At 50.0% G+C, this 27,252-nt stretch overlaps 7 annotated features.

Moving 5' to 3' along the window:
* Positions 5,207–5,386: an enhancer, noted in NCBI's record as "active region_444". NCBI's record gives its function as "activates an Ori minimal core promoter by ATAC-STARR-seq in GM12878 lymphoblastoid cells {active_cell/tissue: GM12878}" and the evidence as "EXISTENCE:reporter gene assay evidence [ECO:0000049][PMID:35858748]".
* Positions 5,442–5,642: a silencer, noted in NCBI's record as "peak123 fragment used in MPRA reporter construct". NCBI's record gives its function as "represses an SCP1 promoter by STARR-seq MPRAs in K562 erythroleukemia cells {active_cell/tissue: K562}" and the evidence as "EXISTENCE:reporter gene assay evidence [ECO:0000049][PMID:32103011]".
* Positions 11,743–11,812: a silencer, noted in NCBI's record as "silent region_451". NCBI's record gives its function as "represses an Ori minimal core promoter by ATAC-STARR-seq in GM12878 lymphoblastoid cells {active_cell/tissue: GM12878}" and the evidence as "EXISTENCE:reporter gene assay evidence [ECO:0000049][PMID:35858748]".
* Positions 19,101–19,150: an enhancer, noted in NCBI's record as "active region_443". NCBI's record gives its function as "activates an Ori minimal core promoter by ATAC-STARR-seq in GM12878 lymphoblastoid cells {active_cell/tissue: GM12878}" and the evidence as "EXISTENCE:reporter gene assay evidence [ECO:0000049][PMID:35858748]".
* Positions 23,402–24,601: an enhancer, noted in NCBI's record as "P300/CBP strongly-dependent group 1 enhancer chr1:25417097-25418296 (GRCh37/hg19 assembly coordinates)". NCBI's record gives its function as "activates an origin of replication core promoter dependent on BRD2, BRD4, P300/CBP, MED14 and CDK7 cofactors, with strong dependence on P300/CBP, by STARR-seq in HCT116 cells {active_cell/tissue: HCT116}" and the evidence as "EXISTENCE:reporter gene assay evidence [ECO:0000049][PMID:35650434]".
* Positions 23,402–24,846: a biological region, named in NCBI's record as "P300/CBP strongly-dependent group 1 enhancer GRCh37_chr1:25417097-25418296".
* Positions 24,164–24,846: an enhancer, noted in NCBI's record as "H3K4me1 hESC enhancer chr1:25416852-25417534 (GRCh37/hg19 assembly coordinates)". NCBI's record gives its function as "activates a minimal SCP1, AML or CMV promoter by ChIP-STARR-seq in naive H9 embryonic stem cells {active_cell/tissue: H9 hESC(naive)}" and the evidence as "EXISTENCE:reporter gene assay evidence [ECO:0000049][PMID:30033119]".

Genomic DNA, 27,252 nt, shown 5'->3' with positions numbered 1-27,252 from the left:
TAGCAAAAGGAGGCAATGCCTTTGCTTGTGCCATATTTGCTTATGTCCCATTGGCCAAAGAAAGTCATGTGGTCAAGCCCAGTTTCCAAAAGTAAAGAGATAGACTCAACCTCTTGATGGAAGGGGTTGCGAAGTCATGTTGAGAAGGGGCATGAGTATAGGGATGGGAAGAATCTGGCTTACTTCTGCACTCTATCACATTAATTTCCCTGAAGTCAAAAGACACCTGTGGCAAGCAGAATAATGGCACCCCAAAGATGTCAGCATTCTAATCCTGTAACCTGTGAACACATTACCTTACACAGCAAAAGGGACTTTGCAGATGTAATGAAGTCAAGGATCTTTAGATGGGGAGATTCTCCTGGACTATCTGGGTGTATTCAATGTAATCGCAGGGGTCGTTAAAGGGAAAGAGGCAGCAGGAGAGTCCCAATCAACGGGGAGAGGTGGCAATGGAAGCAGAGGTCAAAGTGATGCCACTACTGGCTTTGAAGAGAGAAGACAGCCATGAGCCATGGAATGCAGGCAGCCTCTGGAAGCTGGAAGAAGCAAGGAACAAGTTCTTCCCTGGAGCCTCCAGAAGGAGCACAGCCCTGCTCACACCTTGATTTTAGTCCAGTGACACTTCTGACCTCCAGAATGGTAAGGTAAAAAATTGGTGTTGTTTATGCCACTATGTTTGTGGTAATTTGCTACAGCATCAATAGGATGTAAATACAACACCTTCAGCCATGTGACCTTTTCTCAAGACCAGTAATAACCTGCTTTGTGATTACTCAAAAGCAGGCAATCACATCTCTTTTATTAGAAGGAACAAAGATAAGGGCTTTTAAGTACCCACTCCTGAAAGTCCTCAAACCCTAGAACATCAACGCTCAGTGGGAAGGCCCACTGGGAATACTGTCTTCTTAAAATCAATTTGAGAGGAAATTGGAAGAAGTATTTTGACAACACTGCAGACAAAACCATGGTTAGAATGAGTAGAGTTGAATGAACGTTGTAAGAAAGGTATCGTGTTATGTTCATGAGCTGCTTTCCTTAAAGATCTTGATCTTTTAAGGCTACTTAACTTTTAAATATTTATTTAACCATTTTAAGAGCAATTTTAATTTTTTTCAAAGGAATATAATGGAGTATAAAAGGTTCAGACCATTACCAAGTTTCCATTGGTCCCCTGCTGCCAGCATATCTTGATTGCCGTCAAAATCCCTAAGAGGAAATAAGAAGCTTCTCTCTCAATAATGCTGAATCAATAGTGACAGCCACGTCACACTCAATAACAGAGAACAAAGTAGGATGGCCCATAATCTTGGAGCAGAGTGCATGGAAGCGCCCCTGTCACCAGTGAGGAGGCACTGGTAAATTCAGCAGTGAGACATTGAGGGGGACTCTCTCTAGCGGGAATGAATACCAGCCTGTCCCCTTTGGTCTGACTTCTTACTGATGTACCCCAATTTCTCTGGTTAAGACTTCAGCCAGCTTAGCTGGGCATGGTGGCTCACACCTGTAATCCCAGCACTTTGGGAGGCCGAGGTGGGTGGATCACTTGAGGCCAGGAGTTCGAGACCAGCCTGGCCAACATGGCGAAACCCTGTCTCTATTAAAAACACAAAAATTAGCTAGGCATAGTGGTGGGCACCTGTAATCCCAGCTACTTGGGAGGCTGAGGCAGGAGAATCCCTTGAACCCAGGAGGCAGAGGTTGCAGTGAGCCGAGATCACACCACTGTACTCCAGCCTGGGTAACAGAGGAAACCTCCATCTAAAAAAGAAAAAAAAAAAAAAAGACTTCAGCCAACAGATCAGAACGCAGAAAATGCATTTGCCTCAGTAGTGAGTCGGCAGAATTCCAGAGACTTGTAGCCATATCAGGCTTTCCAAGCTGGAAGCAATTTCAAAGAGCAAAGGCGCAGCCTCTCCTCTCATTTACAGATGGGGAAACTGAAGCCCAGAGAGAAGTAATTTGTCTGAGGTCACCCAGCAAGGTGGTGACAACACAGGAACTGGAACTCATATTTCTTCACTCTCAAGACAGACTCTGGGCTGCCCCTTAAGGATAAAAGTAGAGAAGGAAGGGGAGAAAAAGGTAGACATGAAGGAGAAAGAAAAGGATAAGGGAGAAGAAAGAAAGGACAGAGAGAAAAAAATGAACAATCAGAGTAAAGGCAGCAAGCATTCTCTAACTCCTGACCGCGAGTGATCCTCCTGCCTCAACCTCCCAAAGGGCTGGGACTACAGGCGTGAGCCACTGCGCAGGGCCTCAACCAGCGTTCTCTAGAGCGGTGGATCCCAAATGCCATCTGAGGACCAGCAACAGCAGCAGCATCCGGTAAGATCCAAGAAAAGAACGTATTTCCTAAAATAGAATGCTGAGGAAAACAAGAGGCAAGTTTAAAAATAATGGAAAGTAATTTTATGATAAAATACAACGATGGGGTACTAATACCTAGCTCATGTTTATTGTAAGGACTGAGCAAGAGTAAGTATGTAGATATGCCAGTTTGTAAACTATAAATCCTGATGGAAGGCACCTAGCTGGTTACTACTCAGGCAGGTTACTTCTCCTCTCTGGGCCTCTGTTTCCTCAGCTGCAAAATGAGAGGGTTGAATCAAAGGAGGAACAGCGTTCTTTGAGTAGCTGGTGTTGGGCAAGAACTGAAATTGGTGGGACCAAAGAGAAAGAAAACTGTGTTTCTGTTCAAGAAACTTGGCCGGGTGCGGTGGCTCACACCTATAATTCCAGCACTTTGGGAGCCCGAGGTGGGCGGATCACCTGAGGTCAGGAGTTCAACACCAGCCTGGCCAACATGGCAAAATCCCGTCTCTACTAAAAATACAAAAATTAGCTGGGTGTGGTGGTTCGTGCCTGTAATCCCAGCTACTCTGGAGGCTGAGGCAGGAGAATCACTTGAATCTGGGAGTTGGGGGTTGCAATGAGCCAAGATCGTGCCACTACACTCCAGCCTGGGTGACAGAGCAAGACTCCATCTCAAAAACAAAAAACTCCCTCAGTCCATTTTCCCCATCACATTTGCTGCCATCTACTCAAGCTAACTGCAGTGGAAGATTGATCCAGACAACTAGAGTGACAAACCACTTTTGCCTTGATTGTCTAGATGCTGTTGAGTGTGACACAGCTGGGTCATCCCAGTTCTGCCCTGCCCGCAGTGCCCTGCCTGCTGGGACAGGCCAAGGCCCCTGATTCACAAGACAGCACCTTCTGCCCAGCTGCTCAGCAGCTTTGGGCCAGTAGGACCAGACTGGGAAGGCAAACTCGCAAATTCCATTTCTGGCTCATCAGCGACTCATTTTCAGAACTCACCCTCTGGGGAGCTTGTTAAAAGGCCCTTGGCATCCCCAGGAGGGGGGCTCAATAAACATGTCATTCAGGTCAAGTAAACAAACGCGTTTTCTCCTTGTGGCCTAGAGCAGGGCAGTGAGCCTCCCCGTGGGCAGGGGGCTTCTGAGAAGCCGCTTTGTCTGAGCCCAGCCCTGGCTGCAGTTCAGCATCCCCAGCAGGGCCCTGGCTCCCTTTGAACTCCTGGCAGACCCACCCCTACCTCCTGGTCCCCAGCCCTTTTCTTGAGAGGCTAGTTCCCAAAGTAGAAGCAGCTTCTCTGATATTTTATGATTGGAAAAGAGCCTACAGAAAATCCTTTCTTGACTTCTGCACTGCTACCTTTTCTCTTCCTCATTCATTGATTCAGAGGACGTTGATTAAACACCTACTATGTGCCAGTCACATATGTCCTAAGGGCAGAGACTCAATGATGCATAAGACCTGGGCTCTTGTCCTCAAGGGACTCACGCTGTACAGTGGTTCCTCCTGCCCCAGGATCACTGGAGAAGCTTTGAAAACACACAAATCCCCAAACCATCCACACACGTGTGACATTGGACGTTCACTCATGCCCATTCACCTTCTCTCATACTCACCTTTGATTGTGTTATTATCAAATTTTTATATTTCAAAATCTGATTTTTTTTTTTGAGATGGAGTCTCGCTCTGTTGCCCAGGCTGGAGTGCAGTGGCGCGATCTCGGCTCACTGCAACCTCGGCATCTTGGGTTCAAGTGATTCTCCTGCCTCAGCCTCCAGAGTAGCTGGGATTACAGGCATGCACCACCACGCCCGGCTAATTTTTGTGTTTTTGGTAGAGACGGGGTTTCACCATGTTGGCCAGGCTGGTCTTGAACTCCTGACCTCAGGTGATCCTCCTGCCTCGGCCTCCCAAAGTGCTGGGATTACGGGCGTGAGCCACTGCACCCGGCCTCAAAACTTGATCTTAAAAAAAAAATGTAAAAGGTAGACTTAAAAAAAAAACCTCACAAACTTTACTTCTTACAGACACAACATACTCAAAATGTTGCGTTTATAGGTTAATGGAGTCATGGTGACACTGAAAATTCTTCCTGTGTTGGCATCTGACAGAGGATTTGAAACCGAATGCTGAACTCATGTTAGGAAAGTGAAGCAGCAGGTTCTCTGGAGAGAGATGGTCTCTGCATAGCAGAAATGGAGTTCCCCCAAGTGAAGCGAGTCTGGCCGCTGGGGCGCTGGCTTCCTCACTGAGACACCAGAGAGGGAGCCTTCTTCCACATTGTCATCTGAAGATTTCTCATCATTAGACTCTCTCAGCGCACCCAGAATGGGACATGGTGGGTCTGCAGAAAAGGAAACAGTGTTTCCAGATCCTTCTAGACACACGCTTAGTGCATTAAAGGAAAATCATTCGCAGTCTAAATGGGTTAAAAGTACTTCTGCAATATAAATGCAGTTTTAACGGTTTTAAAGCTAAGAAATATGTTCATTTTTCTTCTCAAGGCATATTAAAATTAAATTTAAAAAGTCAATTCTGGACAATCAGACTTATTGCAATAAAAAGACTATCAGGAATTTATTACCTCACACAGTGAGACACAACATGAGAGTCAGAGAGAAAATCTCGACAGTCTTTGGTTTGGTTCCTGGTTCCAAGTGTTCTGAGGCCCAGTCATATTTCCGCTGAGTTTCGTAAGACACTCACATATATTAATGTTTAAAATTGCCCTTTTTGGCTGAGCAAGTTTAAATTGGTTTGGTTTGCTGTGGCTGCTTGCAACTAAAAAGAGCCCTAAGTAGCACAGACCTGAAAGAATTCTGAAACGCTTTCTAAGAGTCAGTTGGGCTGCTTTTGGCTGCAAGTAAGTGAATTAAAATTTAATTCACTTAAGAGGTTTCCCACTCCTTCTCTCATTTAACAGGAAGTCTGCAGGTTGATTATACAAGACACAATTATATCCTCAGAGAACCAGGGGCTTTCCAATTATGGGCTTTTGTTCTCAGGCTTGTTCTCTTGTGGTCACAAGATGGCTGCCACAGCAACAGTCCTCACACACCCTCTGTGAGCAGGAGGGATGTCTTCTTCTCACCTCACACATCCTCTATGAGCAGGAAGGGTGTCTCCTCCTCACCTATCTTTTCTTTTTTTTAAACCAGAGAGAAAAACTTTTCCCAGAAGTCATTTCAGCCAACTTCCTCCCAGCTCCCACTGGCCAGAATTGGGTCACGTGACCATCTATAGCTGCAAGAGAGGCTGGGAAAGTGACCAGCTGCCATTTTCAGCCTCTGTGGTAGAGGCAGGTTGGCTGCACACAGGCAACAAATGGTGCCTGCCACACCGTTACTTCTCAATCACCGCTGCAGAGTAAGAGGAAGATAAATACTGCCCAAATGACAGTCTTCATGAATAACACATTTATCCAAGGAAAATATTCCACCTAACATGGTTGCCTAGGCATACCTGGTGGTGGTGTACTTGGGGCTACACATGGGCTGCCTCTACTGTGTAGTGAGATACTGGTTTTGAACTGTTGGCTGGGAGGTTTTGGTTTCTGGTGTTTTCTTCCTCTCCTTGACCCTTCCCTTCAGTTGGCTGGGCTTTTCAGTTCATTGACTCAGGGAAGGGGAAATGAAGAGAGAAAAGGAAAAAATTCTTGGCTTTGAGTTTCAAAAACAGACTAGAAATGACTCTCAGTGATGGGGGAAAAGGAGAGAGACAGAGGGAGAGTGGCTGGCAGGGAAGAGGACAAGGAGTGGGCCCTGGAGAGATCACGTGGATGTGAGAGGAGTCAAGTCCACCTCATGGCAGACTCCAATCCCAAAGGAACTGTCTGCAGCAGACCTCAGAAAGCCGAGTGGAGCTGAGCTCGTGCCTACCGATGACCCAGTCTCTGTGAGCGCACATGTGGGTCTTCCCATTCATGGCAGCAGAAGCATTGCCCACTGACCAGCCACCTGGCATGGTGCTTTCTGTGTCCTTGGGGACAGTTCCCTCCCTCCCTCCCTCTCTCCCTTCCTTCCGTCCTTCCTTTTCCTTTCTTCTCTTTCTTTCTTTGTCTCTCTCCCTTCCCTTCCCTTCCCTCCTTCCTTCCATCTTTCCTTCCGTCCTTCCTTTTCCTTTCTTCTCTTTCTTTCTTTGTCTCTCTCCCTTCCCTTCCCTTCCCTTCCTTCCTTCCTACCTTCTCTCTTTCTCTCTTCCTTTCTTCTTTCTTTTCATCTCGCTCTGTCGCCCAGGCTACAGTGCAGTGGTGCAATTTCTGCTCACTGCAACCTCCACCTCCCAGGCCCAAGCAATCCTCCCACCTCAGCCTCCCTAATAACTGGGACTACAGGCATGTGCCACCAGGCCCGGCTAATTTTTTAATTTTTTGGAGAGGTGGGGTTTCACCATTTGCCCAGGCTGGTCTTGAACTCCTGGGCTCAAGTAATCTGCCTGCCTCGACCTCTCAAAGTGCTGGGATTACAGGCGTGAGCCACTGTGCCTGGTGGAGACAGTCTCTTTTTATATCCCTGGACACTCAGATCCCCAGGCATGGGGTAGAGCTAGGGCTTAGTGGAGGCAGGAGCAAGGTGAAAGGCAAGCCCCAGCCACTGTCCCTGTCCCCAGACTTGGTTGGAACTGAACAGAACCAGCTTCTGATGAGCTGCTAAGCTGGGAGCATGGAAACTCCTTCTGATCTGATGACAGAGTGGGAGGAGTGCTGGTGGCACCCACTGGCATGGCTCTAGCAAGGGGGTCATACACTTCAGTTGGCTGAAGTGACGTCTGACGTGGTTCAGTTTAGCATAGACCCAGAGTAGGGTGAACCAAAGACAAGTCCCATCACCTGAACCCGTTTCACACCTTATCAGTCCATGCCCCAATCATAGCCCTGCAGCTGGACTCTACACCAGGATGCCTGGTGCAACCCTCCCACACCGCGGGTGCCTCAGCACACTTCTCTCTGCGGACCACTGCTCGGATAGGCTAATCCATGCATGCCTGTAGCGTGGGCTTTTGTTAGGAGCTGAAAGCACTTATTCATCTGTTGTAGCATAGGATCCCCGTTCTAGTTTGACGATAGGAAAACTGAGGCCCACTGCAGTTACTCATTGAATTCTTGTGGTGTCTCAGCTCTGCACTAACGTCATTCTCATATTACTTTGTTTGACTCTTTCAGGAATCCCATGAGTCTCTGCCTGACTCCATTTTATACATGGAGCAATGAAGGCTCAGAGAGTTTCACGAACTCTCCCAAGGCCACACAGCTGAGTGGCAGAGCTGGATTCAAACCCAGGCCCTCTGACTCCTGCCTGTTTTGCCAGTCTCCCAGTTAAATGACTTGTCCAAGCTCACACTGTCACTGAGGAGTGAGCTGAGACCTAATCCCATGACTCTGAGCCCATCCCTAGCGTTCCACGTGGCCTTTGCTCTCACTTGCAAAGATGCCAAATGGGAGTGGAGCAGGGAGTGGAGAGGAGCGAAGATGGCTGCGTGGAGGGCTCCCTCAGTCCTCTCTCTCAGACCGCAGCCTAGGTGGCCAGAGGCCGCACGTGGCCCTCTCCTCACCCCCCCATTCCTGCTCAGCTGACCCGGGAGAAGGGCTCCCACCGCAAACACCCCAGTGTTTACTTGCCCCTGTAGAGGGTGAAAGGCGTCAGGGGCTGGAGGGGAGACAGCCGTGCCAGCCATCACCTGGAATACATTACGGCAGCTGTGACTAATTAAACTTTGATTTCCTCAAATTTCGATCTTCTTGGAAATTCCTTCTGAGCCCGATGGTATTCAAGGCTGTGGCAGAAAGTAAATACCAGGCGAGCCATGCCACGGGGCCTCCAGGTGGCCCGTTCCCCACCTCGCTCTCCCGCTTTCTCTCTGCCTCCCTCTGTGTTGCTCCCCGAGGTCTCAGAAGAGTGTCCCCTTAGAGGATCTCCAAACCACAGCCCCCAGAAGCCGATTTGGCATTTCCACCTGGGTGAAAAAAATGCTCCTTCTGTCCTCCTTGGGAGATGGTGGGGATGTGGTAGTGGGGGATCATATTCTCTACCCACCATGGGATGCCTGGAGGCATGAAAACAGCTGTCTGGGTGGCCTGTGTCCTGGGGTTGCCACCCCTAGCTTGCCCTGGGGTCATCTCAGGCTGTCCAGTGTCCTAAGCCAGCCAGCCAAGCAGTGAAACCCAGAGAGAAGACAGCTGGAGCCAGAGGGCAGGAACGTGGCTCACAAGAGGCCCAGCCAAGGGGCCAGATGGTGTGTGGGAACCTGGGTTCTGTGAGGTGCCCACGCTGCCTCTTGTCTGTTCACGAGGGCGGGCTGAAGCTGATGACCACCATTCACTGAGCATCTATTATGTGCCACATCCCATGCTGAGTCATTTATGTACTTTCTCTCTAGTCTTCATGGCAGTCCTGGAGGAGAGACAGTAGGACCTTACTTTACAGAGGAGGTCCCTGAGGTCAGAGGAGGGGTTAAGTCACTGGCTGAAAGCCACACAGTGAAGCTGAGAGTCAGATCTGGGTCTGTTTGAAGCCAGCGCCTACATTCTTCCTGCCACCTCACCAGGACTTTATATCTGGAAAGTGCTTTGCATCTTCTACCAAGGTGGGGCTTTGGGTGGAATGGAAGGAATGGTGTACCATTTCTCTGGACATCTTGATTTCGTTCCATTCTTTCTTCTTTCTCAAAGTTAAAGAGATTTTAAGTTTTTCTTTCTCAATTTAAAGGCATCAACAATACTTGTTTAGTATAGAAAAATTGGAACACACAATAAGTGAAAGATGAAAACAAACCAACCAGAAACCACATCTGTTCTCATTCTGGTGCATGTTCTTCCAGATTGTGTGTGTGTGTGTGTGTGTGTGTGTTTCTTTCTGTCCATTTGAAAACGTTCTTGCAGCATGTGCCATGGAGAGACTGCAATGCTATGGGAGAAACAAGAGAGGTGCAGTGCTGCCTGCGGACTCTCATCTGACACTGACACTGCCTTGGTTGGGTCCCACCCTGCCACTTATTAAATGTGACCTTGGGCCGGGCACCGTGGCTCATGCCTGTAATCCCAGCACTTTGAGAGGCCAAGGTGGGCGGATCACTTAAGGTCAGGAGTTCGAGACCAGCTTGGCTAACATGGTGAAACCCCATCTCTACCAAAAAAAAAAAAAAAAAAAAATTAGCTAGGTATGGTGGTGCATGCCTGTAATCCTAGCTGTTTGGGAGGCTGAGGTGGGAGGATTGCTTGAACCCGGGAGGTGGAGGTTGCAGTGAGCCGAGATCATGCCACTGTACTCCAGCCTGGGTGACAGAGCAAAACTCCATCTCAAAAAAAAAAAAGAAAAAGTGACCTTGGTCAATGTCTTCATCCCATGTGGCTCAGTTTCTCCATTTGCCAAATGGAATGATAGCAGTGTCTACCTCATAGGGTTGTCAAGAAGATTCAACAAAATAATGCTTGGAAAATATTTAGCACAATGCCTGACATGGTTAGCACTCAGCAAATGTCAGCTGTTAATATTTGTGCCAGGATGCAATGCAAAAATAGACTGGACTCTGATTGCATGGAACCCTTAGGCAGAGGGAGAAAGCCACGAATCAAATAATCACACAAGCAAGTGTCAAGTTGTCTCCCAAGTGCCACAGTGGTGAGTGAGGGCAATGGAGCTATGAGAATCTGTACTGGGGAGGGACATCACTCTAGGCAGAAAAATCCTGGAAGGCTTCCCTGTGGAGGTAACACTAGAACCAAGACTTGCAGGTTGTGGAGGAGTGTGCTAGGCCAGGTGGAGAGGGAAGAGCATTCCAGGCAGAGGGAACAGCATGTGCAAAGGTCTGTGGGTGGGCACCATGGACAGCACAGGGATCTGAAGGAAGGCTTATGTGACTGGAGTGGAGAGAGAGGGGAAGCAGGGCTAGAAATAAGAATGGAGAGGCTGGCAGGGGCTGGACCCTGAGGGTCTCATAGGTGCTGCTTGAGAAACTTTGCAGCTATCCTAAAAGCAATGGAGAGCCATTGAGGGAATAAAGCAGGGGAGTGTAACATGATCCTCTTGGATTTTAAAAAGATCTCTTTGGTTGCCTCTAATAGGGACGAAATTGGCAGGGGAGGTCCGAGCAGAGATGAGGACATTCCTGTCCTTGAACCCTTCCCTGGGCTTTGTACTTTAGAGGGCCCTGCTCTGGCTCTCCTTGGCTCATGCCTCTCCCCATGGAAAGAAGAGTCTATGGGCTAAGGGCATTTGCCTCTTGGGGCCTCTACCCACAACCCCTCTTCCTTCAGGAGCCTCTTCCTCATTCCGATTCCCCTAGGGGAGGATCTGCTTCTGGGGTATAGACCCCTGGGTCTGAGGGTGGTGAAGAAGTTGTCATTTGCAAGAATGCGGCTGGAGCTTGAAAGTGCAGGCTGTGGTGTCCACACCCTACCCTTAAGAGTGATGGAGCAGGAATAGCAAGAGAAAGAGGAGGGCAGGGGCTGCCTTGGTAGGGTGACAGAGCAAAACTCCATCTCAAAAAAAAAAAGAAGTGACCTTGGTCAATGTCTTCATCTCATGTGGCTCAGTTAGGGGCCCAACACGCATGCTGGGGGCAGGTCTGTATGGGGAAACCCACAGTTGCCACTATTTAGGAGAGAAGTGGTCAACTCGAGAGGTGTTCAGGAGGGGAAACCTCTGGGAATCAGCAAAGGATGGGAGATGGAGATGGGGCTGAGGCGTGGGCTTCTGCCTGCTGACCTGGGGGTGCTGAGAGACCCCGTAGAGAAGACTGGCTTGGATGAAGGGTAGATTCTGAGTTGGTTTTGCACTTGTTGAGACTGAGGATCTCTTGGGACATTTAAAAGATGTCAGACAATTCTGTCTTAATCTACACAGACACAGACACACACACACACACGCACACACACGCACAGAACTTAACACAAAACCAAGTCATTCCATTTTCTGCCAGGTTTTCCTAGGATAATGTGTTGGAGGGCTCTGAACCCCAGAAGCTTCACACCTAGAGCTCTTCAGATCTACCCTTGGTCATTGACATCCCAGCATGAATCAGTGACTCAGTCCTTCCAGGTTGGTTCCCTGCCTGAAGGCAGTTTCTACTGGGGTAAGCTGGGAACATGGTATCCAACATGCCCCATCATTGAGAAGCCCCTCATGCAGGGAGGGGGACCACCCTGGCTCATCTTGACGTCCCGTTCCCCGTGAGCAGAGAGCAGCTGGCCGTGGCTCTGGCTCCCAGGCCTGATGGCGAAGCCCCATCTGAACTCCCTAGAGTCCCCTCGGGGGTCTGGCCCTGGCTCCTATCCCTGCCTTTCAGCCTCAGGGCATGTGGGCCTGCGTCTGTCAGCAGCTCACTCCCAGCTTGCAGCGTGGCTTTACACTGTGCAGGGATCTGCTGACAACAGCCCACAGCCACATGTGGCTCTGACCTGAGGCCTGTGGCCTCTTGCTCCCCTCAGCCTGGGAGGGAAGTTGCTGAGCCCCAGCACTTCAGCGTTCCTGGCCCTGCCTGTACACGTGGGTTCTCAAGCAAGGCTGTCAGGCAGGGCTGGCCCCAGCTGGCACCATGGCCCAGCAGTGGACCTGCCAGCTCCCTCTCCCACTCCCTGTTCAAATAACCACATGTGGGCAGCTGCTGAGCTTCTCCAGCTTCCAGGGAGCAGGGAGCTGGGGTAGGGGGTAGAGGCAGCCCAGCTGGCTGTAATTATCCTAGAGGCCTCATGTGGGCTGCCTGCCCTTGGGGAGTGGGGATGCCCATTCGTCTTGGCTTCCTCTGTCCCTTCCCTGAGGGGTTTGGACCTGAAACTAGTGGAGGGGACCATAGAGAGGGGAGGAAGGAGAAGCCCACCATCCCCCCTCACTAGGTCTGAGGGGCCTGCATTCTGGGGTAGGCTCTGAAGTCTCCCTGATCAGAGAGTCTCAGGCTGTCCAGGCATGAACAGACCATGGAATTGGAAAATTTGAGGCTCAGAGAGGTTGTGACTTGCCTGGGGTCACCCAGCAGTGGAGGTGGCCTTCAACTCACGTCTTTCACCCCTGACTCCCTTTCTAGGACTCTCCTCGTGTCTCCCTTTCAAGCCCCTAATTTACTCATCTAATCAACAACTGTTAGTTGAGTGCCTGCTGAGTGCCCATGCAAGTGCTGGGGGCTAGGACACAGACAAAACCTCTGTGGGGGTGGGAGGGAGGACTTCCTTCAGGTGGTGGAGGAAGGCTTCTCAGCAGAGACGACATTTGAGGAAAAACAGGATGGACTCAGTCATGCGAAGATCTGGGGACAGGAGGTTCCACAAAAGGCCACAGCAAGTGCAAGAGCCCTGAGGTTGGAACGAGGCCATCCGTTATGGCTGGAGCAGAGTGAATGGGGGGCAAGGGTGGGGAGATGACATCAGAGAGATGGGTAGAGGCCAAATGAGGCAGATCTTGGTAAAGAGATGTCGAGAAGATGCCAGAGAGTTTGAACTGGGGCCCTCTAACTCCTTAGCTCCAGGCAGAACTCACCCCCCGTCCCCCACCCCGCGGCAAGTGGGTGAAGCCCTTGGAGAACGCAAGGACTCCAAGCCCAGGGCAGTTTCTTTCCTATCTGATTCTTTTGGGGGACAGAGTCTTGCTCTGTCGCCCAGGCTGAAGTGCAATAGCGTGATCTCAGCTCGCTGCAATCTCCACCTCCCAGGTTCAAGCAATTCTCCTGCCTCAGCCTCCTGAGCAGCTGGAATTACAGGTGTGTGCCACCATGCCTGGCTAATTTTTGTATTTTTAGTAGAGACAGGGTTTCACCATGTTGGCCAGGCTGGTGTCAAACTCCTGACCTCATGATCCACCCACCTCGGCCTCCCATAGTGCTGGGATTACAGGCGTGAGCCACTGTGCCTGTCCTGTCCCACCTGTTAGAGAAGAGGAAGGCAACCTGGTGTGTCAATGAGCCCAGAGCTGGGAGTATGGGGACCCGAGTTCTGGTTTGAGTGGTGTGTGAGACCTTGAACTGATCCCCTCTCCTCACTTGGCCTCAATCCTATCAGCTGTGGAGTGAGAGAATTGGAACAGAGGGCCCTCAGTTCTGCGGATGACACAGGAAGGAGAGGGGAGGAGGATAAAACAAAGCTCAAAGAGACTAAATGATACTCACGTGCATGGTGTCTGGCGGGGCTTGCAGCCGACTGCATCCAAAGCCACCCCAGGAGGTCATCATGATGAGGAAGTTTGGGTCTGTTTACTACGAGGTCAATGGCTGGCATCGTTCTCTGCTCAATTTTCACAGTTCCTTAGGGCTGAGAATGGACAGTCCTTTGCAGTACCAGCCAACGGACAGCAGAGGGCGCCAACTCAATGGTCAGGGATCCTGGAAGGAGGAAGTAGTTGGTCTGGAGTTTGCACAGGATGGTTGGTGGCTACCAAAGATTTCCCTTTCATAATAACCGGTGACAGCTGGTGTGTATCCATGTAGATTCATTGAACGAAGATTGACTATGGCTACTCTGCTGAGCATTGTTCTAGGTTTCAGGGAAACAGGGAATAATATAGGTCAGCAATGGCAAATGGCTTTTATATTTTTAAAAAATCAATTAATTAATTTTAATAACTTTTATCTTGAAGGTTTGCTTGCATTGGAGAACTATGCTTGGAAATTAGCGTTAAGAAAATTCTGAGGCTGCTTCCTGGCTCAGGGAGATAGGATAATGTGATTGATTAATCATGTCTGTCAGGGGGAGGTTGAGGAGGGGGCAGTGTGAGTGTCACTTCTCTAATGCAACCTTATTATGGGACAAGTGGGTAAATAAAGATGCAGAGATAGCAAGTTTATTTATATAGGGTCATGCTACTGGTAAGTGTTGGAGTTAGGACAATTGTGCAGTTTTCTAGTCATGTCTTTGGGCCTGAAGGAATGCATCTCCAGGCCTGCAGGGACTCTCTGGACAATGGTGCCATCACCAATGACCATTTTGGTAACCAGAATGCTTCCTGGTGGGGGAGGGCCTTTGATGTGGAGCCAACTGGGGTGGTGCTATGGTTTTGGGTGCTATGAAGGCCAAGCTGGTGGCCAGTGGGGGCAGGCTAGGCCATTCCAGAACCCAGAACCCATAGTTGGGACCAAACAGCTCAAAGCCAAGCAGTGGCAGAATTCAGGCTTGTCCCAGGCCACTGGACTGGGGAGTCCACGTTCGTTTTATGACCTCCACCCCACTTTGTGAGTTCCCACTGGCTTTGGATGGAGAAAGATGCGCTATGCCAGGCCCTGTGTGGGGACAGGGAGGTGCCTGAGCTAGAGTTCCTGTGTAAGGCATTTCCTGCCTATTGATGGGGACAGGTGTGGGGACAGCTTAACCCACACAAGGCAGAAGGGAGAGCTCCGCAGGACACCAGCAGAAAGGGGGAGATGGGAGGGGCAGTTACTTCTCTCTGGGGATGCCTGGGGAGGTGTCATGAAGGAAGTGCCTAAATATTTTTCTCTCATTACAAAAATAACTGTGTTTACTGCAGACAACTTTTTTTCAGAAAAAAAAATAAAATGATAAAAAGCCTCGAATCGATGTCATTACACAGAGACAGTGACTGATAGTATCTTTTTTTTCTTTTTTTGAGACATTGTCTTGCTCTGTCGCCCAGGCTGGAGTGCAGTGGTGTGACCTCAGCTCACTGCCACCTCCACCTCCCTGGTTAAAGCGATTCTCCTGCCTCAGCCTCCAGAGTAGCTGGGACTACAGGCGTGTGCCACCACACCCAGCTAATTTTTATATTTTTAGTAGAGACAGGGTTTCACCATGTTGACCAGGCTGGTCTTTAATTCCTGATCTCAGGTGATCCATCTGCCTCAGTTTCCCAAAGTACTGGGATTACAGGTGTGAGTCACTGTGCCCCACCAGTATCTTAATCATTTATTTACACATAACCACAATGATATCAGGTTGCATATATTTTTGAATTTTCTTTATTACTTAATGTAGTGGCTCTCAAAGTGTGACCCTTGACAGCAACATCCGTATCACCCGGGAGCTTGTCAGAAGTGCAAATTCTTGCTTTCCCTCTCAACCCCAAACCTCAGAGACTCTGGGGGTGGGGTCCAGTGGTCTGTGTTTTAACAAACCCTCCAGATTGTTCTGCTGCTCTGCAAATTCGTGAACCACTGACTTAGTGTATTATAAACAACTTCCCACTCTCTGACTGTCTTATGTTTAATGTGTGATCTTTTGTTGTACTGACCTGATGAATTCTGCTAAAGCAATGCTGTGGTGAACATCTTGGGTGCACGTATGTCCCTGTGCACACCGGGGCTTGTTTTGTGAGGTGCCCTTTGAGCTGAGCTAGTGACAGGAGGCAGGGGGTGGCTGCATGCAGAGAGAGGAGGGGAAGAGGCTGTGACCGCAGCTGTCTCTGACCTGGGACTGCGTGCAGACAGGAGGGACCAGAGCTCTTCTTCCCCATCACGCCCTCCCTGGAGTGGCTCTGGCAGAGCAGGAAGCAGGTGGTGAATGTGTCAACAGCAACTAGAAGCGACTTGGGCTAAAGGAGTCCAGATCTCTCGAGGCCGATGGTCAGTGCTGTCTGGTCAGCAAAGGGGAAGCTGCACTCTGCCAGGAGAAGACAGAGAAGAAAGAAGCAGCCAAAAACACGCTGCGGTGCCTTGTCCCTGCTGGCCTCAGCTTTGGTTTGTGATTGTTTTCTTGTATTTCTCCCTGCTTCCCCTCGCCTTGTGTATGGAGAAAAGATGGACTCTTTGGTCTGAGAATGCTCAACTCTGTGAGCCTTGATGTGAAATGCTGTCATTAATCCACCAGCTTTTGTCCTGTTTCCTGACATAGGCACCAGATTTCAAATTTGGGTCTCCATAGGTCCTCCCTGGACCCGTCAATTTCAGTGGCTCTACCCCAAAACACCCCAGCCCAGCCCCTTCAGAGAAGTCTCAAGACCTTGCTATCACTTTTTCTCTTGGCTCAGCTCCTGGGATTAGGCACGTGCAGATAGATCATTGTGGAAATGAGGGGGCAGCTCCCACCAGCTCACTAATTGGGATGATGAGTGAATAGGCAAGGAATGATCATGTGCTGAGGCCAACCGCTCTGCCCACTCAACCCCAATGGAGGGGAAGAGGCCGATGTTCTTACAGCCAGGAGCCAGTCTTAGCTGAGCCCAGGGCACTGCAGAGGGGCTGCACTTTTGGGTGGGAACTGCCCTGAAGCCCAAGGTGAAGCCAGCCCCTGCCTGTGACTGGGAAGAGCTGGCTGGGGCCCTGCTCAGGTGCAGCCCAGACTTGGGCACTGCTCCTGCCAGTCCACGGCTCAGCAACTTGCTGGGGCTCCACAGGCCCATTAAAGTGCTCACCTGGGGTGGAAGCCCACCTTTCTATGGCCCCAGATCTCTTCAGCTGTATCCCTTAGAAGAGTGCCTGATAAATATTGGTACAACGAATGAATGAATGAAGATGTCCCCCTCCAGCTAGGCAGCTAGATCTTGTATTACCCTTGAAATGCAGGTTATGTGTTTCTGCCACCTTCTTCTCTACTTATCCAAATTCTGCTAGTGCCTCAGCGCCTGGTCTACAGTACGTACTCAGTGTATGTGTGTTGATGTCCTCCTGTGGCTATGTGGCTCCGTGTCTACCTGTGCCCTGAGCTGTGTGTGTGTGTGTGTGTGTGTGTGTGTGTGTGTGTGTTGGAGTTGGGGTTTCTCTGTACTCCCTACAGAGCCCAGAGTTGTGCCAGGCTCAAACCAGGTCCAGACAAGGCAGCAGGAGAGTGACAGTCCTGCCACAGCCCACTCCTGATAGGGCTGAAGCAGTCTGTAAGTCCCAGATCCCTCCCCATTTGAGTTGGGAAGAGAATGTTCTTTGTTGGGTTGTCCACATTTATCACCAAATTTTACTCACCCTGATTCCAGAAAGGATGATGATGTGCTGATGCTAGAAACAGTGATTCAAGGCTAGAAGAACAAGAGCAGGAAATGGAACCAGGATGGTGGTACCAGAAAATCGGGCTGTGCCCAAACGTGTCTCTGAGCTGCTCCTTCACCAAGAGACCCACAGGATCACTGGCTTTTGGGTTTGGACAGGTACCTTCATGGTCCCCTGTGGAGCATGTGACAGAGGACATAGCCTATCGTTGAACCACAGGAACCAGATTCCAAGCCCAGCTCTTCTCTTTGTAGAACCTTGGACACATTTCCTTAAATTTGGGAAAAATCTCAAGCCATTATGTCTTAACATTTCTTTCCTGTCCCACTCTCGCTCACCTCTCCTTCTGAGACTCCAATCACACATACGTTAGACATTGTGATCTTGTCCCAAAGGTTCCTGAGGCTCTGTTCACCTTTCTTCAATTTTTGTTTGTCTCTTGGTTCTTCACATTGGGTAATTTCCATTGATTTGCCTTCAGGTTCACTGACCCTTTCTTCTTCCATCTCCAATCTGCTTGTTAAGCCCATCTAGTGATTTATTTATTATTTATTTATTTATTTTTTGAGACAGCGTTTCACTACCATTGCCCAGGCTGGAGCGCAGTGGTGCGATCTCCGCTTACTGCAACCTCCGCCTCCTGGGCTCAAGCTATTCTCCTGCCTTGGCCTCCCGAGTAGCTGGGACTACAGGCGCACATCACTGTGCCCAGCTAATTTTTGTGTGTGTTTTTTGTAGAAATAAGGTTTCACCATGTTGCCCAGGCTGGCCTTGAACTCCTGAGCTCAAGTGATCCGCCTGCCTCAGCCTCCCAAAGTGCTGGGATTATAGGCATGAGGCTCTGTGCCCAGCCTAGTGAATTTTTAAATTTTACTCATTGTATTTTTCAGTTCCAGGACGCTCATGTGGTTCTGTTAAAAATAGTTTCCATTTCTCTGCTGAGATGGGGTTGCATTTTCCTATTTTTGCATGTGTTACTTTTTGCCTGTAAACCATGCATGACTCATTGTAAAGATTCTGGATTCTCTTATCTTTCTCTGAAGGTTGTTGATTTGTGTTCAGTTAGATAATTAATCACTGGCCGATCACCTTAAGTGTGTGTGTGTGGGTTTGGTTTTACACTTTGTTAGGGCAGACCTGTGTGAAGCCCAAGCTTTCTTCCAAGCCCTTTTAACTTGGCGGGACTCAGTCTCTGCATTCCTTCTTCCCTGTGGTCATCGCCAAGGCTTGGCTTTCAGCTTTGGTAGAGAGGATCTAGAGTAGCCTCATTCAAGGCCAGGGTTTCTCAACCTTGGAATGATTGGCATTTGGGCCAGGGCAGTTCTCCGTGGTGGGGGCTGTCCTGTGCGTTGTAGAATGTTTAGCCGCATCCCTGGCCTCTACCTAACAGATGCCAGTAGCAACCCTCACAGTTATGACAACCAAAAATGTCTCCAGACTTTGCCAAATGTCTTCAGAGGGCCAGAATCATTCCTTATTAAGAACCATTGCTCTAGTGTATGGTCCTTCCTTGGAGATATTTGGGAAGAGCCTCTCATTAACTTTTGATAATCTCCTGAAATGAGGTTACACACCCATCACACAGGGCCTTCCACTCAGCTGAGAGAAGAATCTGTTCCATTACTTCCCCTCACTGTGGAGGACACTACAAATTTACATGCGTTAGCATCAGTCCTGGAGCAATCTTGAGAATATCACAACTAAATTGCCCTGTAATCTTTAGGGTGTTAAATTAGCTACATGTGAATATTTGAAATAGATCTTGATATTTGCACTTTGTGTCAGTATTTCCTCCCACTTTTTAATATGATCAGCCTTCCAAGATGGAAGAGATGGGGGCTCCACTTGCCCTCTGTGAGGCTCAGTGTGTGTGCTCTCCATGATCTCCCTGATCCATTTCCCCCCATGTTCCACGGAGCTGTTTCTTGCTGCCTTTCTGAGGAGGCCTCTCTATTCCTCCCTTCGTCCTTATAGTCTCTATGGTCAGTGCTTGGCCAATTTCCCACCGGAAGAACCCACGCCCCAGTGTCAGGGAGTGGTTCCAGGTGAGGGCTGGGGCTGGGCTCTCTGGAGAGCTTGGGGGAGCTGGTGCAGTAGAGGGTTGCAGAGAGAGCTTTCTTCAGGTCTGCTCTGGGCTAAGACGGCAGAAGAAATCTTAGAGGAAGAAGGAAATAGTTTGGCTGCTGTCTGCACCCTGTTGGGGCTTAACCCAAACCACACTGGTTTTCTCTACATGGTTTCTTGGCAACTTGCAGACCAAATATGGTTAAAAATAAATGGCAGCCCAAGATAGGTGAGAACACCACAGGAGAATACTAGGGTCCTTTACATGACTTCAGATCTTCAAGCCCTGCAAGAACCTCTGAAGTGACCCCATAATGTCCATCCCTAAGGAATGAAAACCAGCGTGGCATTAGAAGGCTGGCGAGAGTGGGGAGGTGGTGGGGGGGTGGTGCTGGGCCTTGTATCATTTTCAAAAAAGAGGAATATTCAGATTCTGAGCAATTACTGACCAACCACGAGGCATAGCCTTGCACTACTGGAACATTCTAGAAGAGTGAAAAACAACTGAAAGTGATGACTCCTGGGAATAAAGTCTTGCCGAACTAACTCCATTGTCTTTTTGATACAATGCCCAGGCTAGGTGTTGGCAAGAACAGGTGGAGCATTGCTGATTGAACAACCTTCCTAAAGATTATGCCCAGTGGGTAGGTCCTCGCCTCGAGCTCCTCTCTTCCTAGGTCCTGAAGCGCTGCCATACCCCCGTTTGTTTTAGTTCCCTGAGTACTCTCTTATTCCTCTCACTTCCGGTGACTCTGGGCCTTCCTTCCTGTTGTTCCTTCTGCCTGGAATGCTCTTCCCCACACTCATTTCCTAGCTGACTCCTCGCGCCTCCAGACTCAGCTGAAACTTCACTCCTCCAGGGAGGCTCCCACTGCCTGCACGTCCTCCTTCCTCCCGTGTTCAGATTCAGCACCCTGCCAAGGGTTTGTTCCATGGCCATCCAACTGTGAGCTCGAGTGTCTGTTTTGTGTGTGTCTGTGTGTTGAGGGCAGGTGGGGGGCACACTGAAGAGTATCTGTGAAATGATATAAGGAGAGTATCTGTGAAATGATATAAGGAAAGCTTTACATCTTATCTCAGCCTGTGTCCTAAAAAGTGGTTAAGGGCCTGAAATAACCAGAAAAGATAATGTTCAGAGGAAGGCTGTCATTTAGAAGACAGACTAGAAATTATAAAGACTTTTCCAAAGGGCAGAACCAGGACCCACAGGTAGAAGCCAGAGGGCAACAGATTTTTGCTTACTCTAAGTGAAACCTGTCTCTGCCAGAGACTGGTGATTGCCTGCTCCTTCTTAGTACCAGAACCTCAGTTTTACCCAGGGCAGCCCTGTGTCTGTTAAAAGAACACATTTTCCAGTTTATCTTGTAGCTTGATGTAACCGTATGACTAGATTTGTGGCCCAGTGGAAGTTGTTGGGGGTTTGGGGGGACTATTTGGAAAGCTCTGAAAGGGGATTCAGACAGCTGGCACTTGACATTTTTGCTCTTTTGTGCTTCTTTCTACCTGGAATGCATATCTGATGGCTGATGCATCAGCAACCATTTTGGAACATGAGGCAACCACGAGGATGGAAGCTGTGTGCAAAGGATGGTGAGGGAGAAAGATACAAGGGGCTGAGGATATTGAGGACATTGCAGAACCACCATACGTGGACTCCTACTTCCTGACTTATGTGAAAAATAAACCTTTACCTTGTTTAAGTCACTGTTACTGTTTTTTTCAGTATGCAATCAAACACTCTTAACTGATACACCAAGTATTTCCTCCTCCCTTTTTGAGGGTCTCCATCCTCTGGTGCATTTAGGGAAAACGCCATTTGCCCTCACTCATCCTGCAGAATGATTTCTGTGCTGTGGCCTTAGACATTCCTACTGCCACTTACTCTGGACACACCTTAGATTTCCTAGATGGCTTCCTCTCTTGCCACCCTCTTTGCTCCATACTGGACACCCCCTCTCTGCCTCTATACTCCCAAAGCTCCCCCAACACAAGATATTGTATGCAGCAGGCATTTCCTGAAAATTGGAGAGTAGCAGGGGGTAATGTCAGTACAGGGCAGTGACCAATTTCAAAGTTGATGCTAGACATCATGCTTCTGGAAATGTCTCAGCCATGACCCACAAGCAGAGATTTCTTTTCTTTTTTTGAAATGAGACAACCACACATTTGGATAGTGTTTCTATATTCACCATCCATTTTTTTTTTTTTTTGAGACAGAGTCTCGCTCTGTTGCCCAGGCTGAAGTGCAGTGGCATGATCTCAGCCCACTGCATCCTTTGCCTTCCGGGCTCAAGAGATTCTCCCACCTCAGCCTCCCGAGTGGCAGAGACTACAGACATGTGCCAGCACACCCAATTAATTTTTGTATTTTTAGTAAAAAGAGGGTCTTCCCATGTGGCCTGGGCTGGCAGCAGAGATTTCTTGTTTGCACTGTCCCTTCTTTGACTCTGTCAAAGACCCTGTTTCTCCTGTTTCTCTCACTCTGCTGCAGCCAATGTTCCCCCAATTCCAGTTCCTTTCCTATGCAGAGCAGGTGGGCCCTGGGCCTCCTTTGTACAGAGCCACTCGCTCCCAGTCTTCATTCATGTATAGCATTACATGAAATTATACTTATTCTTTAATTTATCTTGGATCAAATTCTTGGGTAGGGCCTATTCCCCCTGACGAAAGCAAACTCTGGGACTGGTGGGCTGGGGGCTCTTTTCAGACCTACAGAATCAGAATCCCCCAGGTGAGGTCCAGTGATCTCTTTTGTTAATGAGTTTCCCAGGTGAGGCCCGGGGTGGCCTTGGGGAACAGATCTTGGATCTACTGATGCCTCTTCCAACACGCTTAAACGAATCGAGGCCACAGTCTGGACTCTGGGTCTTCCCTGTGAGATCCCAGTATAGGTCTGTCAGCCACCCAGATCCCAGGCTCCCTCATCTGCTTCTGCAAGAGTCAAGGCTTGCTGGCTTGTCCCCACAGAAGGGACACATCCCTTTGAACTTTAGGCTGGGAACATCAAAGAGAAACCCAGGAGTCCCTCTGGATGTCCTCACAGTTCTGGAAGCCTCCCTGCTACAGGCCCTGTGGAGATGTAGGGTGTGTGGAGATCACCCTTGGCCCAGAGGGGAAACTGAGGCCCAAAGAGAGAGAGACAAGCTTTGTTATTTGGCAGTGTGCTTCATATGGAAAAGGCAGTGCTGCAGCTGCCAGAAGCTGTGCAAACCAGAGGGAGAGTATGTTCTGTTACTGTTTCTGTTCACATGAGGAAACAAAAAAAAAAAGGGAAAGTTCAGGCTAAGTGCACAGAAGAAAATAATGGAAGTGCACTTAAAATGGAAACTGGGGCCAGGTGCGGTGGCTCACGCCTGTAATCCCAGCACTTTGGGAGGCCGAGGCGGGCAGATCACAAGGTCAGGAGTTTGAGACCAGCCAGGCCAACATGGTGAAATCCTGTCTCTACTAAAGGTACAAAAAAATTAGCCAGGCATGCTGGCACATGCCTGTAATCCCAGCTATTTAGGATGCTGAGGCAGGAAATCGCTTGAACCCAGGAGGCGGACGATGCAGTGGACAAAATCATGCCATTGCACTCCAGCCTGGGCGACAGAGCAAGACTCCTTCTCAAAAAAAAAAAAAAAAAAAAAAAAAAAAAAGAACCTAACAAAATGGTTAGGGCTTATCTCTGCTGGTGGAGTTGGAGTAGTTTTTACTTTTTTCCCTAAGTTGTCTGTATTACTAATAACAAGATATATTTGAATTTAGGACCAAAGGGAGGAAAGCTGTAAGTGCCAGGGATAACTGGGAACTTGGGGAACTCATGCTTCAGGGATTGTGTGCCCCTTTCCTGGCTTTGTGGCTGGCTCTGTGGGCTACCTTTCTGCCTCTGGGGCAGGTGGGCCAGAGAGTCACATCCCCACCTGTCTCCTGGGGCAACAAGGACTCCCACTCCTCTGGGGACACTGGTACCTCCTGGCCCCTCAGTTCAATGTGTTGACACCTGGACTGGGGCTACAGGGGTTTGGCTTGTAGGATCTATGCACAGACCATCTGGCCATTTGAATCCGAGCATGCCTGGCTGTGGATAGACAGATTTCTGATTACAGACAGATGCACAGAGAGCTGGATCTGGCTTGGGAAACACATGCAAGTGGTGGCCACCTCTGGCTGGAGCCCAGACGTCTGTGGCCTTATGGTCACTCCTGCTGAAAGTCTCGGGGCTAATTCTCCTCATCCCACCACACCACAGGCAGAGTCAACATAGAGATCCGTAGGTTAAGGGGTTGGGGGCTGTGGTTCTGTCTGTGTCTGCACAATATTTGGCAAATCATTTAACTCCTCTGGGCCTCAGTTTCCTCACCCACAAAGCCATGGAGCAGAGGAAGCTGACTGCTGAGGTCACTTCCAGGGCTGACATTCTGGGATTCTATTAATATTAAGCCTCTGCTGCGCTGCACCAGTAGCCAGGGCCCCAGGGAACTGCATCCACCCTGGTGGACGGACCCTGATGGGAGGTGGGGGAGGGACAGGACCCCAGCTGCAATGGCAGCCAGGCCTTTTAATAGCTCTTTTGGGGTGGCGTGGGATGTGGTTGGGCAGGGCTCCATGGATGAACTCAGGCAATGTTCTCAGAATGTTGACTGGTTTTAAAGAATCTGAATTGCAGAGCTCAGGTTGAAAAGGGCATGGAATCTTATTCACAAGGTGATAAAGGCAGGACCATGAGTGAGTCACTTCCACTCTCTGGGCTTTGTTCCTCAGCTGTTCAAAGAAGGGGCTAAACTTCTAGGTCTCTTAAGATCTCTCCAAACATACAACACTGATGCAACACGACAGCAACTGTCGAGGCTGCCATCGGCCGAGCAGAGCCCGTTTTCCAGAGGAGAATCTGAGGCTCAGAGAGGTGAAGCCACTTGCCAAGGTCACACAGCGAGTTGGAGGTAGAGTGGAGCCTGGTCATTTCTCCTCAGAGCCTGCGCTCTTTGTGGCTCTGCTCTGCTGTTCCCTGCCCTGAGCTGTCACGATGCTCTCCCACCATCTGGGCAGCTTTTTTCCTCCCTCGTCATCCCCCTTTGCCTCCTCCACCCTGCCTCTGCCTTCCCCAGCTCAGTCCTGAAGTGCTCAGCCCTGAAGTGCTCAATCTGCCTGCCCAGCAGCAGCCTTGCCTGCTCCTGGGCCTTTCTGGCTTGCGACTAGTTGCTTCAGAGAAACCCTGAGCTCGATTTTTCTGACCACCCAATGGCCACCGTTACCTCCACTTAATAAATTGCACTGGAGCAATGGGTGGTCGACGGCAGAGGCCTTCACGGGCTGAGTTGGAAATTAAAAGCAGCGGCCGAGAGTGGGGTTGAATGCAGCAACAGGAACCATGAATATTTTACAAGAAACCAGAATTATTAATGTTTCAATAAAAAACAAAACCCCAATGTCCATGCGAAGATTACATGTGACTTAAAGCCTTCAGAAAACCTCTGTGCTCCTCCGCTCTGCCTTAAACCACTCAGCATGGTTTCGCTTAAACCATCCCCATCTCGCCAACCCTCAACCCACCCATCTAAATGGCGGTGGGGCGCGCTGCATCCGCCCGACCGCCCCGATAATTAGCACAGCCCCCCCCCCCCCGCCGCCCCCTTCCTTCGGAGCTACGGACGACCAGAGAAATATTTCTGGAAGACTATTTACGAACTTCCCCATAATCATCAATCATACGGTTAAGAAGGAATGGAGCAAGATTTCTTACCTCAAGGAGCCTCTAATGCAAAAAAGCTATTTACTGGGCATGGACGGGGGCTGAGATTTCTGTTGCCATTACTATAGAATACATAATAGCATCAATAATTAAGTATAAATTGGATTTAATATTTTATGCTGGCGACATGTAATTTACACTCTACCCGAGAAATCAAAGGTCATGTCTGAAATAAATGAGCATGGGGTCGAGCCTCCAGTGGAATGAGCAGAGGCGCCCCTCCTGCAGCTGGAGCTGATGATAGAAGGGCAGGGGAGGAGCACTGGGCAGCGGGGTAGGAGGGGAGACTGGGTTCCGGGAGCCTTAGGGAGATGCAGGTCTCCGGAGTGTGGCTCTTTAACAGAGGCCTCAAGCCTCCCTGGAGTGAGTGGCCCAAATGGAGTGGATGCTTCTGGATGCTCTGGGAGGGCAGCCCTGGAGCTTGGGAAGGTCAAACCCAGAAGCAAGTCTGCTGTGGAGACAGAAGGACAAGGTGGGGTTGTGGCATTGAAGACCTGGCGGTGTCCTCATGGGGAAACTGATATCCAGGGAGGGGACAGGGCTCCCCCAGGCTCACGGGGACTCGGGGGCAGGGTCAGAATAGGACCCAAGGTTCCCGGTTCCTTCCCTTTGTCAGGTGTGCTCTGGCCTGTGAGTGGGGGCATCATCAGCCCAGACCTCGGAGTGTGTCCCTCAAACACACTGGCCCTGGTGTGGTCTGGCACCTGCCTCTGTCCTGTGTGGATCTGGGAACCATTCGGCCATGGCTGGGGGTTGGGGTAGGGAGACTTGGTCTTCCCAGGTGGAGGTTTGAATACAACCAGCGTGTGGTGGTATTGGGGGATGGGTAGGCAGGGACGACCACCCTTACCCCACGCCCCCCTGCCATGTGGGACAGGAGATCTGGGTCGCTGTTTGGCATGAGCAAGAGAAGCACAAGTGCTCACTAAACCCTTCCAAAGCTCCCACTGGCCCCAGGAGAAAACCCAGTCTTCTTACCTTCCAAAGCCCCTCCCCATCCTGCTCCCACTCAGCCCTTCCTCCCGTTTTCCCCTCCCCACTTGCTCTGACACACACGTCGACCCCAGCTGTGCCACACGCCCTGCACTGCCTCCTGTGGGCCATGCTTGCACACTCCCAGGCCTGTGGCCTGGCTGTTCCCGCTGCCTAGGACACCCTGCCCTCAGATGCCACATGGCGCTCCCTCACTCCCTCAGGCCTCCGCCCAGTGCTCTTTCCCACAGAGGCTTACCCTGACCACTTGATCCCAAACAGCCCCTGCCTGTCCTCCCTTCTCCCTCCCATCCATCTGTTCCTGCATCATCTTCCTTCTTGAGCCCATCAACACTTGCCGTTTCATCTACTTGTGGGTTTATTGACTGTCTCCAGGAACCTCATCCATTTTGTTCACTGCCATTTTGACATCATCTCCAGCGCTAGGCTCATAGCATGTGCTCAATTAATATTTGTTGACTAAAAGAATAAAGGAATCTGATTAGCTCAAAGACATCTTTTATGTCTTTGCACCAAATACCACCCCCCAGCCCAGGGAAGGCTGACCAGCCCCCTCTCACCCCTGCCCCCCAAGCTGAGCCAGGTGTTTCCTCAGCACCCGCAGGCCATATCCTGGCACTGATCACGGGGGTTACATCTGTCTATTTTCTTGTCTGTCTCCTTGACCCATGTTCTAGTCTCTGAGGTCTCCTCAATGCCCACTGCAGGATCTGCATACAGTAGGTGCTCAGTAAATGAATGCTGGATAGATGCCCGCATGTCCTGGGCCATGGACTTGTTGCATGATGGTGGGCCTCTTGGCTCAGGAAGTAGACAGGAACAGAGAGCGATCTGGCTCCAGCGCCAAACTCTAGGCTGTGGGGACTTCTAGGAGCCGCTAAGGCTGGCTCTGGAGGTGGCCCCAGTGAAGAGGCAGGGGGAGGGAACAGGAAGTAGAGCCCCCCCTTTTCCCACCCTCCCCAGCACATCTCAAGTGCACAGGGTTGGGCAGGGAGCTGGGAGGGGCCCAGCTGAGGGGCTCTGTTTCCCCATCTGTGCTCTGGCAGGTTGGACTGGCCCACCCCAAAGCCCTTCCAGCTTGGCTGTGACCTAGGGGTGACGATGGGTCCTGGGAGTAATGGGTGTTTGCTGAGGACCAGACACAGCTTTGGAATTTTATAAGTCTCAACTCATGTCATCCTCACAGCCCCATGAGGCAGGCACTGTTGTTATCCCCACTTTACAGAAGAGGAAACTGAGGCACCAAAGGCTAAGTCACTTGCCGGAGCTCACATACAATGGGTCTGCAGTAG

Source organism: Homo sapiens, chromosome 1, assembly GCF_000001405.40.
Source record: "Homo sapiens chromosome 1, GRCh38.p14 Primary Assembly".
Taxonomy (NCBI): domain Eukaryota; kingdom Metazoa; phylum Chordata; class Mammalia; order Primates; family Hominidae; genus Homo; species Homo sapiens.
Note: the sequence above shows the minus strand (reverse complement) of the source record. Positions and strands in the feature narration are given on the sequence as shown.